This window comes from Homo sapiens, chromosome Y (assembly GCF_000001405.40).
Source record: "Homo sapiens chromosome Y, GRCh38.p14 Primary Assembly".
Lineage (NCBI taxonomy): Eukaryota > Metazoa > Chordata > Mammalia > Primates > Hominidae > Homo > Homo sapiens.
In genome coordinates this window covers 13442319-13462477 of record NC_000024.10, presented here as the reverse complement: position 1 = coordinate 13462477, position 20159 = coordinate 13442319, and the positions used below count along the sequence as shown (strand labels likewise).

The following is a 20159-nucleotide window of genomic DNA, read 5'->3' as shown; positions in this document are numbered from 1 at the left end:
TAGATTAATGATTGCCAGAGAATTATAGTGTGTACTTCTGGAGTAACAAAAAAACTTGAAAATAGAGAGTGGTGGTGGCTGCACAACATTGAGAATATACTAAATGCCACTGAATTGTACACTCTAAAATTGCTAATTGTATGTTATGTGGATTTCATCTCAATAAAAGAAACATCAAAAAAACCAGTGTTCAGATAACTAAAAAGATAAATTATTGCTTTGTGTTTTGTTTACATCTGTATTTACTGCATTGAGCTTGGTGACTCACAGTATTTAAGAAAAATTCTACGAAGGCTTCAGTAATACATTTGCCACCAAGAGACAACTGTTAAAACTTTTGATAAAACTCCTAATAGACTATTGTGTCAATATAAACATTTCAGAATTTAAAATGTGTTTTTTACTCTGCATACCAGTTTGTAACTTAAAGTCAATAGAGTATACTAATAATATCGTGCCAAAATACCTGAAATTTATAGCCTGCATATACAATTTTAAAACATTTGTAACCCCTTATTCCATTACTTAAGTTAAACATTTTCTCGGCTGGGCATGGTGGCTCATGCCTGTAATTCCAGGACTTCGGGAGGCCAAGTTAGGCAGATCACCTGAGGTCGGGAGTTTGAGACCAGCCTGGCCAATATGGTAAACCTCGTCTCTACTAAAAATAACAAAAACTAGCAGGGTGCGGTGGCGCACACCTGTAATCCCAGCTTCTCTGGGACTGAGACGAGAATCTCTTGAACCCATTGAGACAGGAGAATCTCTTGAACCCAGGAGGCGGAGGTGAGCTGAGATGGTGCCATTGCACTCCAGCTTGGGCAACAGAGTGAGACTCTTCTTAAAACTAGAAAACATTTTCTTACTGAGCATTTTAGTCTCTTTGTTTCTTTTTATGCTTTTAAAATAATCACTGTTGACAAGCCTAGTGAAAATTTTTATGTGCCAATAATTGCTGTTATATATCCATTACCGGCATCATGGAAGCGAGGAATACACACACACAAATACTCTTGTTTTTAAATGAACTTTTGAATGCTTAATGCTAGATTGTCCTCTTGAAAGGCTTTATTGATTTATATTTGCATATCAGTATGTATGAGAGTAACTATGTTCTTGAATTCCTATCACTGCTTAGTATTATTTGTACCATTGGATTGTAGTTTATATTACTAATTTCTCTTCCACTCTCCTTCCCGCGCCCCCCACCCTGTCCTTTCCCCTCCTTCTTTCGCTCCCTCCCTCCTTTCCACCCTCCTTCCCTCATTTCCCTTCTTTTCCTTCTCTTTCCTTTCTCTCCTTCCTTCTCTTTCTTCCTTTCCTTCCTTCTTTTTTGTTCTTTGACAATTGCTTCTGTTTTCATTTCTAAGAAAATTCTTACAAATCCTTAAAACTCATAAAAATGGGAGAAGTTGTCATAAATTTTTTTGTTCTAGTATGTATACAGTAGTCAGGACCTTTTGTAAAGTTTGTATTTCCCCTTTAAAAAATTATTTGTAAAATGACATAAAAATTATGTATCTTTCTCGTGTACAACATCTCGTTTTGAAATATGTGTACATTGTAGAAACTAACATTTGCATTACTTCACAAATTTCTATTTATTTTGGTGTTAAGAACATTTAAAATTTACTCTCTGCAATTTTCAAGATATATAATATGAATATAGTTACTATGTTTTATAGTAGATCCCTTGAACTTATGCTATCTTACTAAAATTTTGTTTCCTTTGACCAACATCTCTTTACACCCCTCACCCTCATTTTTTTTTCTTCTTGAGACAAGGTTTGGCTCTGTCGTCCAGTCTGGAGTGTGGTGGCACAATAATGGCTAACTGCTATCTCCGCTTCCCCAGCTCAAGCAGTCCTCCCACATCAGCCATCTGAGTAGCTGGGGCTACAGGCGTGCGCCACCATGCCAGGATATTTTTTGTATTCTTTGTGGAGATGGGGTTTTGCCATATTGCCCACACTGGTCTTGAACTTCCGAGATCAAGCAGTCTGCCATCCTGACCTCCCGAAGTGTTGGGATTACAGGTGTGAGCCAATGTGCCCGACCCCATTTTTTTATTTAAAAGAAGTGAAGCAAGGTCATGAGGTTAAAGAAAAAATGACATGGCACCTTTTCCACTTCTTTTTCTCCTTGTATTTCTATTATGTTAAAGATAAAAATATGGTAGGGGTTATAGAACTCTGAAGTGTTTTTTTAATAGTTAACTTTCATTATTTGCTCTTGAATTTTTTTCTTTATATAAATATATTGTTGGTTCTTGGCAGTCATTTTAATACTTTTAAGAAGTATGTTTGTGTATTTAATCTGTGATTAACAAATGAGTTTTATGTTCTCTGGCTTTAATGAAACAGTGAATTTCAGGTACTTAGGAATACTTTTAAGGAAATTAGGGATTTAAGCTTATAACAGACTAAAATGAATAGATTTAAATACAAGAAATTAGGGATTTAAGCTGATAACAGACTAAAATGAATAGATTTAAATACAAAACAAATATTAAAAATAATTAGAAGGCTGTTTAAGACTAAAATTGGGTTCAGGGATTGATAAAACTTAAGTTTTGGGCATTCATCAAGGGGTTGATGTTGAAATGGTTGTTAAACCATTTTTGTAAGTGGTAAAGGAAAACAATGATCTTGCCTATAATAATATTAAAAGGTTTCATAGTGGGATGAACAAGGACAACTTCAGCCACTGAGGACCCAAGAAGCACATAATAAAGAGTGCGTGAATTTTGGTTTACCAAGAGAAAAATCAGTCAGACGATTACTGCAATTATTATGAAACAGACATGGTGTAGTATAAAGAAATCAAAATAAATGATCCTCACACTCTTGCCCCATCCTGTGTTTAAGACTTCAGAAAAGTCTGGTTATAGTAGGATTAGGAATTTTATCCATAGGTCAGTACTTGACTTACCTATTAAAAATAAGGACAATGCTTTGGATAAGGTAAATTCGACAGAGAAACTATAATGAAGGAGATTGGTAATAGTTATTAATTTTAATAACCTATTTAGAAGACATAAAATGTTAAGATTTTTTAAATGATAAGATCCCAGGGACTGATGTAATAGACTGATTCTTGAGAACTTGCTTAAATGGCTGAAAATATAACAGGTAAGCTTAAGTACATTAGGTGTACATGTATAAGAGGTAAATAAATTCCTCATAAATTCTGAATATGAATTTTAAACTTTATAGGTTGCAAATGGAGGCTGACCTAGTACTCTCCTAATGCCTTTATCTAGGACAATGGTTGACAGAATGATTGTAACGTTTTTACTTTTTTTTAAATTTTATTATTATTATACTTTAAGTTTTAGGGTACATGTGCACAACATGCAGGTTTGTTACATATGTATACGTGTGCCATGTTGATGTGCTGCATCACTTAACTCGTCATTTAGCATTAGGTATATCTCCTAATGCTATCCCTACCCCCACCCCACAACAGTCCCCAGAGTGTGATGTTCCCCTTCCTGTGTCCATGTGTTCTCATGGTTCAATTCCCACCTATGAGTGAGAATATGCGATGTTTGGTTTTTTGTCCTTGCGATAGTTTGCTGAGAATGATGGTTTCCAGCTTCATCCATGTCCCTACAAAGGACATGAACTCATCATTTTTTATGGCTGCATAGTATTCCATGGTGCGTATGTGCCACATTTTCTTAATCCAGTCTATCCTTGTTGGACATTTGAACTAAAGAGCTTCTGCACAGCAAAAGAAACTACCATCAGAATGAACAGGCCACCTACAGAATGGGAGAAAATTTTTGCAAACTACTCATCTGACAAAGGGCTAATATCCAGAATCTACAATGAACTCAAACAAATTTACAAGAAAAAAACAAACAACCCCATCAAAAAGTGGGCAAAGGACGTGAACAGACACTTCTCAAAAGAAGACATTTATGCAGCCAAAAAATGCATGAAAAAATGCTCATCATCACTGGCCATCAGAGAAATGCAAATCAAAACCACAATGAGATACCATCTCACACCAGTTAGAATGGCGATCATTAAAAAGTCAGGAAACAACAGGTGCTGGAGAGGATGGGGAGAAATAGGAACACTTTTACACTGTTGGTGGGACTGTAAACTAGTTCAACCATTGTGGAAGTCAGTGTGGCGATTCCTCAGGGATCTAGAACTAGAAATACCATTTGACCCAGCCATCCCATTACTGGGTATATACCCAAAGGATTATAAATCATGCTGCTATAAAGACACATGCACACATATGTTTATATCGGCACTATTCACAATAGCAAAGACCTGGAACCAACCTAAATGTCCAATAATGTTTTTACTTTTTATAGACATGGTCAAGTGTATACTACATTTTACAAGTTATTAGAGAGTTTCTATGTATACTCCGTTTCCCTCTTAGCCTCTTCCACTAGGATGATAGATCTGTCACAGTATTATGAAGCAGTATTGATACATTAACTAAAGTCTCTATTCAAATTCTTCTTAAGAGTTTTTCCCTATTGTCCTTTTTCTCTTTCAGAGTTCCGACTAGGATAGCTCATTTCATTTAGTTGTCATGTCTCCTTATGATCTTGTCTGTTGCCACTTTCTCAGGCTTTCCTTATTTTTGATGATGTTAATAGTACTCAGGAGTATTGGTCAGGTATTTTGTAGCATGTCCCTGAACAGGGATCATGTGTTGTATTTCTCATGATTAAATTAGGATTATCATTTTTTTAGGGGGAAAATTACAAAAATAAAGTGCATTTTTATCACATCATATCAGAGACATATACTGTCAACATGACTTAGCAATGTTAATGTTATTCACTGGCTGAGGCATGTTTGTTAGGTTTCTCCACTGTGAAGTTACTGTTTTTGCTTCTTTGCATATCATATTGTCTGGAAGAAAGTCACTATCAATAGCCTGCACTCAAGGGAGTACTTTTTTACAGGTATAGACAAGCCAGTTCTTGGGGGTTCATTTGGATTTTGTTGAGTTTATTAATTATTTTAGGAAGGATGTTCATCTTATCTATAGTAATTCTTTTAATTCATGTAAATGAAATAACTTTTCAATTGTTTTGTGCTTTAATTTCTTGTTTTGACAGTTTCAACATACAGATCCTGCATGTCTTATTAAATATATTCTTATACTAAGATCTAAATATTTAAAATTTTGGTGCTAAATTTTTATATATAGTTGTTTATTGTTAGTACTATATAAGAAATAATAGTTGAGTTTTAAAATTGACTTTGTATCATAAGAGCTTACTAAATTCATGCTAGTTCTAGGAGTAGATTTTATAGATTCCTTGAAATTTTGTTGTTTTCTTCAACAACTTATAAATAATTGGATATTGTTTAGTTTTGAAAAACTGAATACCCCAGCATAAATAAAACTGATTTTTAGAAACAGACTTTAGGACAACATACTTCTTACAATTAGTGTTTCTGACTAGGCTCTTATATGTTCCAGGTACTAGAAATTTGTGAGGAAATAAGATGAGGGAGAGAGTGGACAATTCAAATGATGGTCATGTTAGAACACTTCTAAGGGGAGTGAGATGGCCTTCTAGTCATCTAGTTTATAGTGTGTGAAAAGGATAGTAGAGGTGGTTTAAAAAAATAGGTTTGCACATATAATAATCAAAACCAAGTTTAACTGGACATTTTTCAGATAAAGAAATACAGGAACAGCAGATGTTGGTAGACATCAGTATGCATATGTCCTGAGTCATGGTATTCCTAAATTCTATCTGGGACATAGATGCCATTTTTGAACCTTTTTTCTTTGTTCTGGTACTGCTGTTTTCTTTATCACGTATCTTTTTTGTTGGTATATAATTGTTTTTCATTATTTTTAGAGACAGATTCTTGCTCTGTCGTCCAGGTGGGGGTGCACTGGCTCAGTGTTGACTCACTGCAACCTCCATCTTTGTGGCTGAAGCCATTTTTCCACTTCAGCTGCCCAGGTAGCTGGAACTACAGGTGCAAGTCACCATGGCTGGCTAATTTTTGTGTTTTTTTTCAAGAAACAGTTTCATTACCTGAGGCTGGCTTTGAACTCTTGAACTTGAGTAATCCATACCTGCCTTGTTCTCAGAGTGCTGGGATTATAGGTGTGAGCCTCCATGCCCAGCCAGTGTATAGTATTTTCTAGATGAGCACATTCTTTAGTAGCTTCTTAAGGAAAGATTCATGAGATATAATGTTGTTTTGAGACTTCACATATATGTTTGTGTGAAATATCTTTCTTTTACCCTTGCAACTGTAAATTAATAGTATAAATATTTAAATCTAGGATGGAAATAGTTTTTTAAAAATATAATTTTGGAAGTAGTTTTCCATTTTCTTGGTCCTAGAATTGCTGGTATGGAGTCTGAAGCTCCTTAATAACAATTTTTTTCATGTGACCTGTTGCTTAGTGCCCTACCCCTGGAAGTCTTTGTCCTTATGTTGTAAATAGAGGAGTAAGTGGTCTTTTTGGGGTCACTAAGGCTCATTCCAATATGGCTGTGGAGATTATACTTGATGAGGCAAATGAGATTAAAGGATTTGTTATACTCACAGGTTCTAGAAGAAGGAGGCCTGACACCCCACACAAGGGGTCATCTAGGTGGAACTCCCAGAGAATGGCCTCACCCAGCACATCAGGAGCTGAGAGAAAGTGGAACTCCTCTATTAGGGGTCAGGACAGAATACTCAAGCAAAAGTCTAGAGAGAATTTTACTGATGTCTTTGGATTTTTCTAGATCATAATCAGGGAAAGGCAAGAAGGTCAACTTGGCAGGGACTATCCTTATCCTATTGATGGACCTGGTCATTTGGGTTAGATGGTCACAGGCTGTGGGGATGTTGAAGACTTAGGAAAATACTAATTTTCTAAAAACTGGGAATATAGAACTATTTTTCCAGAGTTTCAAATTGATATGTTTTAGAATAGGCCTATTTTAATCTGTTATGTGTCCTTGTGAATCAGCATCTCATGTCCTTCGTGTTGGAAGTGTTTTGGTGATAATTTAGAAAATCTGTTATTCTTACCCTTACTCTAAAATTTTATTGTTCATATGCTTTAGCACATGATAGTCTGTGATTATGGATAGTCTTTCTGATCTTTGAATTTTCCCATCTCTTCCAGGGAGAGATCTTTACTTATTCCAGAAAAAATCATTTTTCATTTTTTTTAAAGTTTTGTGTTAAAATATATATAACACAATTTGCCATTTAAATAACTTTTAAGTGTTAAATTTCTTTAGCAGTAAGTACCTCATAGCCATCACCACTCTTCGAAAACTTTTCTTTAATCATACCAACAAAACTCTGTAGCCATTCAGCTATAAATTCCTATTCACCACACTCAGCCCTTGTTTGCCTGCATTACACCTTGATCTGTATGAACGTATCTTCCCTTGGTAAGTTATAAGTGGAATAATGCATTATTGTTCCTTTTGTGTCTGGATTCTTTTACCTGGCATGTGTTTAATTTAGTCATTCATATAATATGTATTAGAATTTCATTTGTTTTTAAGGCTTTTTTTTTTTTTTTTTTTTTTCCTGAGACAGTGTTGCTTTTGACGCCCAGGCTGGAATGAAGTGGTGTGATCTGACTCACTGCAACCTCGGCCACTTGGGTTCGGGTGATTGTCCTGCCTCAGCCTCTTGAGTAGCTGAGATTATAGGCACCTACCACCATGCCTGGCTAATTTTGTATTTTTAGTAGAGACAGGGTTTTGCCATGTTGTCTAGGCCAGTCTCGAACTCCTGGTCTCAGGTGATCTGCCCACCTTGGCCTCCGTAAGTGCTAGGATTGTAGGCGTTAACCACCATGCCCTGCCTGTTTATTTTCTTCAACGAGTTTACAATGTGTATATTTCTTTCATTGAAATGTTATTTTAGTGGTCACTCCTCTTTCTTCCTTTCTTCAGTTAGGTCCTTGCAGTCACTAGCCTATCTTCTGTCTCTGTGGATTGCCTGTTATTGATATATAAATGATATCATATTGTATATGTCAGCTGTTTTTACTCAGCAAAATGTTTTCAGGGTTCATTTATATTGCAGCATGTATTACTACTATGTTCCTTTTTATTACTGAATAATATTTTATTGTATGTGTATGCCACAGTTTACTGTTCATCTTGGATGAATGCTTTGGTTTTTTTTCCTATCTTTTGGCTGTTGGGAATATGCTATGAAAATTAGTATACAGACATCTGTTTGAGTCCCACTTTTAGTTGTTTTTTGTTGTTGTTGTAGTTGTTACCTAGGCTGGAGTGCAGTGACGTGATCTTGGCTCACAGCAGCCTTTGCCTCCCAGGTTCAAGCAATTCTCTTGCCTCAGCCTCCTGAGTAGCTGGGATTATGGGCACGTGCCAGCACACCCAGCCAATTTTTGCCTTTTTTTATTTTATTTTTCTATTTTTTTTTTTTTTTTGGTAGAGACAGGGTTTCGCCATGTTGGCCAGGCTGGTCTCGAACTCCTGACCTCAGGTGATCCAGCCGCCTCGGCCTCCCAAAGTGTTGGGATTACAGGCATGAGCCACTGCACCCGGCGTTCAATTCTTCTGACAAGTTAGCTGGGAGTGAAATTGCTATTTTTATTACTGAAAAAGCAGTAATTTTTTTTAAGAAAACCTGTTTTCCACAGATGCTGTACCCATTATTACTATCTTGCCATTGAAGGAGGAGACTTCCAGTTTTTTGCCAACACTTGTTTTTTACTATTTCCCCACACCTCCCATTGTAACTATTACAGTGTGAAGTGATAGTCTCATAGAGGTTTTGATTTGCATTATTTCCCTAATGACTAACAATGTTGAGTATCTTTTCAGGTGTTCATAGGCCATTTATGTATCTTTGGAGAAATATCTGTTCGGATTCTTTATGTATTTTTTTAGTTGAGCTACTTGTCTTTTTGTTACTGAGTTTTAGGAGTTTTTTGTATATTCTCGAAAATAAAGTTTGATTAAACATATGATTTGCAAATATTTTCCCCCATCGTATAGGTTTTTGTTTCATTTTATTAACAATGTGCTTTGCACAGAAGTTTCTAATTTAGATCAAGTTCAGTTCATCTTTAGTTGCTCATGCTTTTGGTGTCCTCTCTGTTGCTGTGTTCATGAACATGAAGAATCTTTATATTTTCTTTCAGATTTCTTTGGTTTTACTTCTTATATTTAATAAAGAATTAATTACATTTAGTATATTATGTGAGTTGGGGGACCAGCCTCATTCTTTTGCATGAGAAAATTGAACTGCCCTTTCAAGAGTGAACTAGGCATTCTGTGAAAAAATCAATTGATCATATATGTAAAGATTATTTTCAGGTTCTCAGCTCTATTCTACCATTGGTCTCTATTTCTATCCTTATGTTAGCTGTACTGTTTTGATTATAATAGCTTTGTAGGAAGTTTTGATACTGGGAAGTGTGAGTCATCGGAGTTTATTGCTCTTCACAATTGTTTTAGCTACTTGCCATTGCTTAGTGCTCTAGCAGTGCACTGGTCCGAAAGTGACCTCTCTCTCTGGAGCAATGCCTTTGCTTGATCTCCAGGAAGTCCCGTTAGTCTGAGGACCCTTGAAGGATGTAGGGGCTTTGTTGTGGCTAGCATCCACATCTCTTTTTCACTCACATTTGGATAAATTTCATACCTATCTTTTAAGTACATTTACGTCTGGTTCTTTCTTCATTCCTTGTGGAGTGTGATGACACTTAGATCTCTGGTTAATAACCTACTAATCCCTGAGCCTCCATTCTTTCTCTTGCCTTAGTTTATTTTTTCTTGTTAGTTTGGATTGAATAGTTTTTTATCTTTCTGTATTCTAGTTTAATGATGTTTCTGTGTGCATTGTGCCACCAAGGCTATGAGCTGAGCTCTTTATTTTGAGTATTTCATTTATAAGTTCTAAAGTTTACATTGGTTTGCCTTTTATAGCTTCTGTTTCTTTACTGTGACTTTCAATTTTTCCTTTTTTCATTGTTCTTTGAAGCACTTTTATTCCAGTTTAAAAATTTTTATCATATATTCAAACATTTCTCCCATCTTTTTCATTCATTGTGGTATACTTCTTTTTTTTGATATGGTGAATGATTTTTGACTGGATCTTGGAAGTTTTTATGTTAACGCTGTCAGACAGAGTCTCACTCTGTTGCCCAGCAGTAGTGCTATCTCAGCTCACTGCAGCGTCCGCCTCATGGGTTCAAGTGATTCTCATGCCTCAGCCTCTCAAGTAGCTGAAACTACAGGTATGTGCCACCATACCTCACTAATTTTTGTAGTTTTAGTAGAGATGGAGTTTCCCTATGCTAATAGGCCAGGCTGGTCTGGAACCCCTGACCTTAAGTGATCCACCCACCTCGGCCCCCAAAAGTACTGGGATTACAGGTATGAGCCACTGCACCTGGCTGGTGGATCTTACGTTAATCTACAGTAAACGGTATTGCTGTCTCTTACTGCTAGGTGAATGTTAAAGTTCAGATTACTGAGTTAGGCTTTTTGCTAATGTTGAACTGAAATGAGAATTTTGGCTTCCCACATGGTTTCCATTATTATTCCAGTCTTCCTTATTACTGGCCAGTGGTTAAAATCCTGACTTCCACTGGGGTGCTCTCACTCCACTAACGTGCAGACAGCTTGTTTCTGCCACGTGAGTGTGAAATCTAGGCTACCTTCATCAGAGGACATGTAAGCCTCACTACCAGCCATCAGATAAATTCTTTTCTTGCTCCCTACTTGGCTTCCTCTCACATTAATGCAATAGGTAGCCTGATATATGATAGATGTCTGTGCTTTCTACTTGGCCTTTGTGTAGAGTAGGTGGTTTGAGGGAACTTTTTTCTGTACTGTTTACAGTACACAGATCCCGTTCTAAGTTTTCTGTCCTGCTGGATTGCCATTTTCCTTTGATTAGGGAGATTAGTACCACCCTGCCCTCCTTCATTCTTTTTGATGCTTCTGGAATGGTGGCTTCTTCAGTTTCAAATGTAGGATGAAAGGGAAAAACATAACCTGTAAATTGGTGGGAATTTACCACTATGGTATTCCTCAGGCTTTCTGTTCCTTTTTCCGTTCTTTTTTTTTCTGACAGTTGTTACTTGTAGTGTTTATGCTGAAGGGTATCCTGCATTACTCATTTGCGCAACGCTTTTTGAGGTCTATCTTCCAGGACTTTACTAACCCAGGAGATTCTTTCTCTCCGTTTCTCTCTGTAAAACTTCTAGCCAGTCTGCAGTTTAGATACTTGCTATTTTGGAGCTACTAGACACTTAACTGTAAAAATCTACATGTTTTCTATGGGTTTGAACAACCCCAAATGCTTTCTGTATAAATTCACACTAGAAGAGCAATTACTGCATTCCATGATCTTAAGACTATTTTTTCCACTAGAGTTGAACCTTTGCTCTTCAAGGGCTGGAGCCTGAGATAATGGCCACTATTCTTGAAATGATCCCTGTGTTTTAGGAGCAGGTACTGGGCAGGAGCTATAGTCTTTAGTCTGCTTGCCTCTCTTACATGGAGTCTACCCAGAGTTATTTGGGTCAAGGGCTGTTGGGCATCAGTACTTTCGTGGTCTGTTGCAACTGGATTAGAGTTTTCAGTTAGCCATTCTGGGCATGGGAGAGCAAAGCAGCCTCTCGTCTTGTCATTTGCCCTTTTTTTTTTTTTTTTTCAGACAGAGTCTCGCTTTGTCATCCAGGCTGAAGTGCAGTGGCACGAACTTGGCTCACTGCAGTGTCCGCCTCCCAGGTTCAAGTGATTCTCCTGCCTCAGCGTCCCGAGTAGCTGGGAGTACAGGCACGTGCCACCACGCCCGGCTAAGTTTTTGCATTTTTAGTAGAGATGGGGTTTCACTGTGTTAGTCAGGATGGTCTCCATCTTCTGACCTCGTGATCCACCTGCCTCAGCCCCCTGAAGTGTTGGGATTACAGGCGTGAGCAACTGCGCCTGGCCATGCTTGTTTTTAATATAGTTTCTGCAATACTGAGCTGAGTAGGGGAAATGTTGGTAGCCTACATCTGTTGAGGTGTTAGCCTAGCCCTAAAACAGGAGCTTGTGCAAGAAAGAACACTTCATTTTGGTGGGTCTAGTGGTCCTATCTTACTGAGCTGGGGTACAGTAGGAATGGTGTCAGAAAGAATTAGTTCAGGCTACAATACGATAGATTTTCACTGTTTTTTGCTGAGAACTTAGTTTATTTTCTTAGTAAAATTTTCTCCATTTGAATAGTACCCTTAAGACAGCTATAGAGAGACTTTAAGTCTGCTTTTCTTGAGAAAGTGTCTATGGATCTTTTCAGGCTACTTTTTTGGATGTCACTCCTTTACACTTTTTCGTTTTGAAAGTAAATATTTTAGTTATAGAAATGTAGCCTATATCGTGAGATGATTCTTATATATGCTACTGTCTGTTGAGCATTAAATTTGGTTCTTTTAAAATTCTGTCTTGTCATTTTTATGATTGTTTGAAAAAAGCAAGATTTCCTCAATAGGCTTACCCCCACACCTTAACTTTTTGTAGCTAAATTCAGTGGAAGCATTTCAGCTAACGTTTACATTTTTATTGTAAAAATCTCTGAAATTTCTAAAAATGATTGTTCAAGACAGAATCCTCCGCATATAACAATATGTTCAATCTGCCACTTTTGGCATTCTGCTATTTTCAGTTAATTTTTTTTCATTTTTTTCAATTTATTTTTGACTTTGGGTGATATTCAGTGCTATAATTTATCCTGAAAGCCTATCCCCAGGAATATAATCATTGCTTAGCTGTTTTTCAGAGATTCTGAGTTGATTGGATAAAGTGATGAGTTTTCCTAGTTTTGTCATTATTAATGTTTCCACTAATTCTAATGTGCTTATACGACTTCTTTTTTATGTTTTTATTTTGTGGTTTTATTTTATGTGCCTTTTTTTAGGCTGTCAGGAACAACTACTTTATATGATTTGAGTACTCTTTTTGCTTTTAGATAGGTTTTAGGGCATAAGGCATCCTAACTTGGAATTAAACTATAGATAATAGTAGTCTACTGATTGTGCAAAGGGAAGCATCACAAAGTTATTTTGTGCCTTAGGTGACTGAATTTTTATCTTTCTAGAAAGTGAATTGCATGTTAAGAAAAATTAGAAAACTTTATCATAGTAGGGAATACCTCTAGAAGATTGCCATTACTTTTGGTCCCTGAAGGAGGTCAAATTGATTCAAGTAATTGCTAAGATACTATGTTGGTTTGAGTACATGGGTGAGATTCGATCATGGTTTTATATACCTGATTAAATTAGTAAGCCATAAAATTTAGGTTATTTCATTTTTATTGTTTGTTAACAGATGGGCATGTTTGGCAGCTTATATTAAAATATCAATTTAATGTCTTACAGTGGATTTTTAAATGGGATATGATTTGGCTAATAATTATTTTTTCTTTTCCAGCATTATCTGCATATCAGAGATATTACAGTTTACAGGCTGACTACTGGAAGGTTGGTACAAATTTTCAATGCCAGTTTTTATTTCCTTTATGGCAGATCATACTCAAAATACATTTATCTTGTCATAGGATGTATGATACTACTGTTAGTTGTAACTGCTATGAGGATTAGCCATAGATAGTACAATGTGGATAAAGGGAAAGTCCTGTTTTAGTCACAGACTTTGAAAGGCCATGTGTTGATTCCTAATATAAATAAAATTATTTCTGGCTTTCATGAATTACTTGAGTGGGAAAGAAATGTAATTAAAAATGAAATCTACTTAGTTCCAAAACATATATTGATAAGCATTTATTTTGATTTATTATTTTTTGGTAAAACATTATGGACGTATAATACATATATAGCTTAGAATTCACTCATTTAAAGTGTACAATTCAGTAATTGTTAATGTATTCATAGAGTTGTCCAACCATCACAATTAATTTTGAAACATTTTCATGATATTAAAATAAAACACTGTACCCTTCTGTTTCCCTCCATTAACGTGGCACTAAGCAGTCATTAATTTCATTTCTGTTTCTATATATTTGTGTATTCTGGACGAATTTTGATGGAATCCATCAAAACTTAAATCTATGGTGCTTCAAAGAATGCTATCAAAACTGAAAAGACAACTCAAAAGAATAAGAAAACATCTGCAAATCATGTAAGGATCAAATAACCAGACATATATATTTTAAAACTCTTGCAACTCAAGAAATAACAGAAGAAAAATAATCAGAATAGACATTTGTTCAAAAATAAACATTTACAAATGGCCAATAAACAAAAAGCTGTTCAAACATTAGTCATGAATACAATGAGAATCGAAACTGCAGACCACTTCATATTTTCTAGGATTATAAAAATTTTTTAAAAGACAGCAAGTGTTGGCTAGGATATAGAGAAACAGATCTTTAAATGTTGACATGGGAATGTAAAATGATGCAACCACTCTAGAAAACAACCTAGCAGCTTTTCACAAAGTTACTATCTTGTCAAACAATTCCACTTGTAGGTATATAATAAAAGAAAATAAAACTACAGTACATTACCCAAGGCATGGTGTGGCATCTGTGTCCCTTGGTATAGTGTCTGGATCGTTGCTATTCAGTGTTGTTATGACTGAGGCTACAGGGTGATAGGACTATAGCTGGGGACCTTGTTGGCAAAACTGCCACCTGGGCACGGGCCTGCTTTTGCAAAACAGTTCTTAGTCTCAGAGTTTTGCTGTCTTCTACCTGTAATTCAAAGCTCCCACAAAGCCACTTTCGCTTGTGAATCATTGCCAAGTTATTGCTGCTATGGGGTATGTGAACAGAGGACTTTCTATTCCACCATTTTCTGATCTCCTTGTACTTTTTCTGCTCAGAATTTAACCAAGCTTTTTAAGACATATTAGTCGATGTTTTTCATCACTTTTAATCATTATCTTCATTTTTTCAAAGTAAACTTTATTTTTTATTGACAGTTCTAGCTTTGCAAGATTATTTCAAAGATACCACAGTGTGTCTATACATAATCCCCTATTGATAACATCTTATATTAATCTGGTACATGTGTTGTTAAAGTTTATTATGCAATATTGATGAATTAGCATTAAGTAAAGTTCATTCTTTATTCAGATTTCTGGAGTTTTTACCTAATTTTTTTTTGTTTTGGATCCCATCCTGAATATAGCATTATTACTTCTCATGTCTTTCTTTTAGGCTCCTTTTGGCTCTGACAGTTCCTCAGACTTACCATAAATGTTAAAGGTTTTCATCATTCTCGGCAAGCTAACACAAGAAGAGAAAACCAAACACCACATGTTCTCACTCATAAATGGTAGTTGAACAACGAGAACAAATGGACACAGGGAGGGGAACATCACATACTGGGGTCTGTCAGGGAATTGGCAGGGGTTGGGTAGGTGAAGGATACCATTAGGAGAAATACCTAATGTAGATGATGGGTTGATGGGTGCAGCAATCCACCATGGCACATGTATACCTGTGTAAGAGACCTGCACCTTCTGCACATGTATCCCAGAACTTAAAGTGCAATAATTTAAAAAAAAAATTTTTTTTTAGTTTTTTCTGGACTCAAGTTCTAGTTTAGATATATGTCTGTCGTTGTAGTGCTACCATATTTTAATTAGTGTAACTTTGTAGTAAGTTTTGAGACTGGTTAGTATGATTTTTTTCACCTTGGTTCCTTTTTTGCAAAGTTATTTTGGCTCCTCTAGGTACCTTGTATTTTCCACAGGATCAGTTTTGTGTTTGCGCCAAAAGCCACCAGGGATTATGATATGCAGTTCAAATTTAAGAGTAGTGTCATCTTAACAGTATTATATGGTACAGCCCATGAACACTTATAATTAAATGATATAAACAAATGACATCCTGTCTGTCTGTCTGTCTGTCTATCTATCTATCTATCTATCTATCTATCTATCTATCTATCTATCTATCTATCTATCTATCTATCTATCTCACACTGTTACCCAGGCTGTTCTTGAACTTCTGGGCTCAAGCAATCCACCCTCCTTGACCTTCCAAACTAGGTTATAGGAGTGAGCCACTATACCCAGCCCTCTTGTTATTTATTTGGAACTTTTAACATTTGTATCAAATGTTTTTTAGTTGTCAGTGTATAAGTATTGTACTTTTGTTACAGTTGAAATAACAAATTTACACTAATTTCTAGGGTTTTTTTTATTTTTTAACTTTCAGGCTCAGGTACATGTGCAGGTTTGTTATATAGGTAAGCTGAGTGTCATAGGGGTTTGGTGTAGAGATTATTTTGTCACCCAAGTAATATGCATAGTACCTGATAGGTAGTTTTTTGATCCTTCTCCCACCATCCACCCTCAAGTAGGCTCAGGTGTCTGTTGTTTTTTTCTTTGTGGCCATATGTACTCAATGTTTAGCTCCCACTTACAAGTTAGTAATATGTATTTGGTTTTCTGTTGCTGCATTAGTTCACTTAGAATAATGGCCTCCTGCTCCATCCATGTTTCTGCAGAGGACATAATCTCATTCCTTTTTATGGCTGCATAGTATATACCATGGTGTATATTTATACCACAATTCCTTTCTAATAGATAACAGAAATGATTTTTGATAAGATTCAAAATTCCTTCATGTTAAAAACCCTTAACAAATGAGTCATTGACAGAATCTACCTCAAAATAGTAACAGCCATTGTGATAAACTCGTAGCCAGCATCACATCAAATGGGCAAAAGCTAAAACCATTTCCCTTGAAAAAAACCAGAAGAAGGATGCCCTGCTGTTACCACCACTGATAACACAGTACTGGAAGTTCTAGCCAGACCAGTCAGGGGAGAGAAGGACATAAAGAGCATCCTAATAGGAAGAGAGGAAGTCAAACTATCTGTGTTTGCAGATGATAATATACTTTATTAAATTTTTACTCATCTATGTTTTTTTTTTAACATGCTTTGCATTTAGTTTGCTGTTTTTTTTTTTAGAGTAGTTTACTCGTAGGATTTATTTCTTTTTAGCAATGGAATTTATACCTGTAATTTGCCCTCTGAGCATTGTTGTAGCTGCTTTCTATGAGTTTTGTGAAGATGTATTTTAGCTTTAATTCTTATGACGTATTTACTGATTTGTTTGACTCACTGGAAATTGAGACACACAAATTCACAAATGTGTGTTTAATTTCCACAATTTGTGAATTTTCCATGTTTTATTACTTAGTATATTCTGTCATGGTCACAAGAGATACTTTTTATGAATATATATATATATATATATATATATATATATATATATTATTTTAAAAACTTTACTGTTAAGCCTTGTTTTATGGCTTATCATAGGGACTGTTCAAAAGCTGGTTTTTTTCTTTTTTTTTTTTTTTTTTGAGGCAGAGTCTTGCTCTGTTGCCAGGCTGGAAAGCAGAGGTGGATCTTGGCTCACTGCAGTCTCTGCCTCCTGAGTTCAAGGGCTTCTCCAGCCTCAGCCTTCCAAGTAGCTGGGAATACAGGTGTGCACCACCACATCCAGCTAATTGTTTGTATTTTAGTAGAGACAGGGTTGTACCCTGTTGGCCAAGATTGTCTTGATCTCCTGACCTCGTAATCTGCATGCCTTGGCCTCCCAAAGTGCTGGGATTACAGGTGTGAGCCACCGCTCCTGGTCCAAGAGCTGTTTTTGTGTGCTTGAGAAGAATGTATATCCTGCTATTGTTGGTGAAGTGACATAGATTTTTGTTAAGTATAGTTGGTTCAAAATGTTGTCTTAATGTATCCTTCATTACTCTTTTGCCTAATTGTTCTGTCCCTTAGTGAAAGTGGACTAATTTTTGGAAAGAGTTTGTGAAGGATTAGTACTAATGCTTTTTTTTATTTGTACAAATTTATGGGGTTCATTTGCAATTTTGTTGCATGCATAGATTGCACAGCATTCAAGTTAGGGCATTTAACATGTTATCCATCACCCAAATAATGTACATTTCACCCATTAACTCATTTCTCATCATCCATTCACCTTCCTCAGCTTCAAACTTCCCAGACATTGGCTGTGAATCCATCTGGTCCTGTGTTTTTCTTTGTTGGGAGACGTTGTAATTACTGACTGATTTCACTACTTTTATTTGTCTTTTCAGGTTTTCTGACTGTTCCTGATTCTATCTTGGCAGTTTGTATGTTTGCAGGAATTTATCCTTTCTCTAGGTTTTCAAGTTTTTGAGTATATAGTTGTTCATAATAGTCTCTGATGATGCCTGTTCCTGATTCTATCTTGGTAGGTTGTATGTTCACAGGAATTTATCCTTTCTCTAGCTTTTCAAGTTCTTGAGTATGTAGTTTATAATAGTCTCTGATGATGTTTTGTATTTCTGTGATATCAATTATAAGGTTCCCTTTTTCATTTCTTATTTTATTTATTCTGGTCTCTCCCTTACTTTTTGTTTTGTTGATTCTTTGTTGGCCAAGCTGGTCTCAAACTCCTGACCTCAAGTGGTCCACCCACCTTGGCCTCCCAAAGTGCTGGGATTATAGATCTGAGCCACCGCTCCTGGCCAAGAAAATTAGTTTTTTAAGAGCTCATACACACCCACATATACAATTTTAGTCGTGCATTTTTCTAGTTTATATTCCATTTAATGTAATTAGTTTTTCTAGTCTATATTCCATTTAATGCTGCTCTGGTCTTTTCTTCTGCCAGTTTTGGGTTTGAGTGTGATCTTGCTTTTCTAGTTTCTTGAGGTGCATCATTAGATTCGTAATTTGTACTATTTATGTTTTGAAGGTGAGCATTTAGTGCTGTAAATTTTCCTGTTAACACTGCTTTTGTTGTGTCTCACTTCTCACTGCTTTTGGTATAGTGTGTTTCATTTTTTTCTGTTTCAAAAAATTTACTTTCATGTTAATATCTTTGTTGACCCAGTGATCATATGTCACAGTAAAACTCCAGCCAAGAAAGACAAAGAGACCTTTGGAGACCAAAGAGAACTTTATTTAATTTGGGCACCCGGGCCAACAGCAGGCTCACACCCAAAATGGCTGCCAACCCTGACAAAGAATGCAGGCTTGCTTATATGTCATTTGAGGTGGGAAAACAAGGCAGGATACCCATTTCAGACAAAGACAGTAAATTATTTAACCTGTGACAATTCTGAGAAAGCTTACAATTTAGTTATCTTGACCAGTCAACCTCGAAGCTGGACAGAGCTGGGGTAAGGGAAAACAGGAATGACAGAAATATGCGGGGGTCTGGAGGCAGGCGATAAGCTTGGAAGGTTGAGATAAGCCCGCAGCTGCAACTTGTTAGCAATGCCGGGAAGGGCTACTTAAATTTCTTAGCCTATGTGTAACCTGTACTTAATGTTAACTATTACCTACGTTATGTTTATTATTTTCAACTTTATTGTTTATTTTATTTTATTTTCTTTCCACATTCCCCCCTTTAAAAGCTTTCTTTTAAAAGAAACTATTATTAGAAAGCTTTTACCTGTTCCTGATGATGCACATGCAGCTAGGATGGTAGGACAGAGTCAAAGGCCTGTCAAAAGGCAATTCATCTGTTTGCATGGGGAGTTACTTTGCCGGTGTATCTGCTCTTAGCGTCACTTTTCTTCTTTGTGGGAGCACACTGGCTCTCTGGCTTAATTTTTCTCAGCCTTTGCTGTCCTCCCTGTGGCTGTGCCTGTCTTCTTAGATTGTTCCTATCTTTCAGGGAATCTTCCCCATCATTGACTAACCAGCCACCTACCTGGGGGGCATGATTTTTGGTGTCTTCTCTAGAGAGAAGCACGAGTAAGTCAGCCAGGAGCTGAACTTAGTATTTTCTGTGGCATCATTTGCCTGTGCCTAAGTAGAAGTCAGATTAAACTTCAGCAAGTTATTTTTATAAATGATGTTTAAAGCCTAGCTCTTCTATCCCATACCTATACATGTGTGTTTTATAATCCGTGTAGAACGTAAAGAGGGTGAGGCATGGGAAAGGAAACTACTTTGGAGAAAACCTATGTTAGTTTCATAATTCTCTACCTTCTCATGAGATGAGATTTCTTTGGGTAATGGCTGATACTTAGTGCCATTATTTGGGGGGTGGTGTAGTGGACTGTATCTTCCTAAACAGGAGAGGCAATAAACAAGGGAGTATTAGACAGCTGCCTAATGGAAGTATTACACTTACAAGGAGAGTCTTGAATCCTCCAGAAGATGAAAACCATCCACCAAGAGAGTCTGGGGTC

The 20159-nt window shown here is 36.4% G+C and overlaps 1 protein-coding gene across 123 annotated transcripts in view; it reads left to right on the top strand.

The window, feature by feature from the left end:
- Positions 1-20159, top strand: part of UTY (ubiquitously transcribed tetratricopeptide repeat containing, Y-linked) — a 246776-nt gene that overhangs the window by 18193 nt on the left and 208424 nt on the right. For 121 of the 123 annotated variants that reach the window (NR_174404.1, NR_047627.1, NR_047602.1 and 118 more), the window contains one exon: positions 13412-13461. The exons of the other annotated variants lie outside the window; for them this stretch is intronic. Coding sequence is in view for 66 of the 121 variants with exons in the window: in XM_011531448.4 (XP_011529750.1) it covers positions 13412-13461 (50 nt within the window). In the remaining 55 variants the exon portion in view is untranslated. The remainder of the gene's footprint in view (positions 1-13411; positions 13462-20159) is intronic. 123 annotated transcript variants of the gene reach the window in all.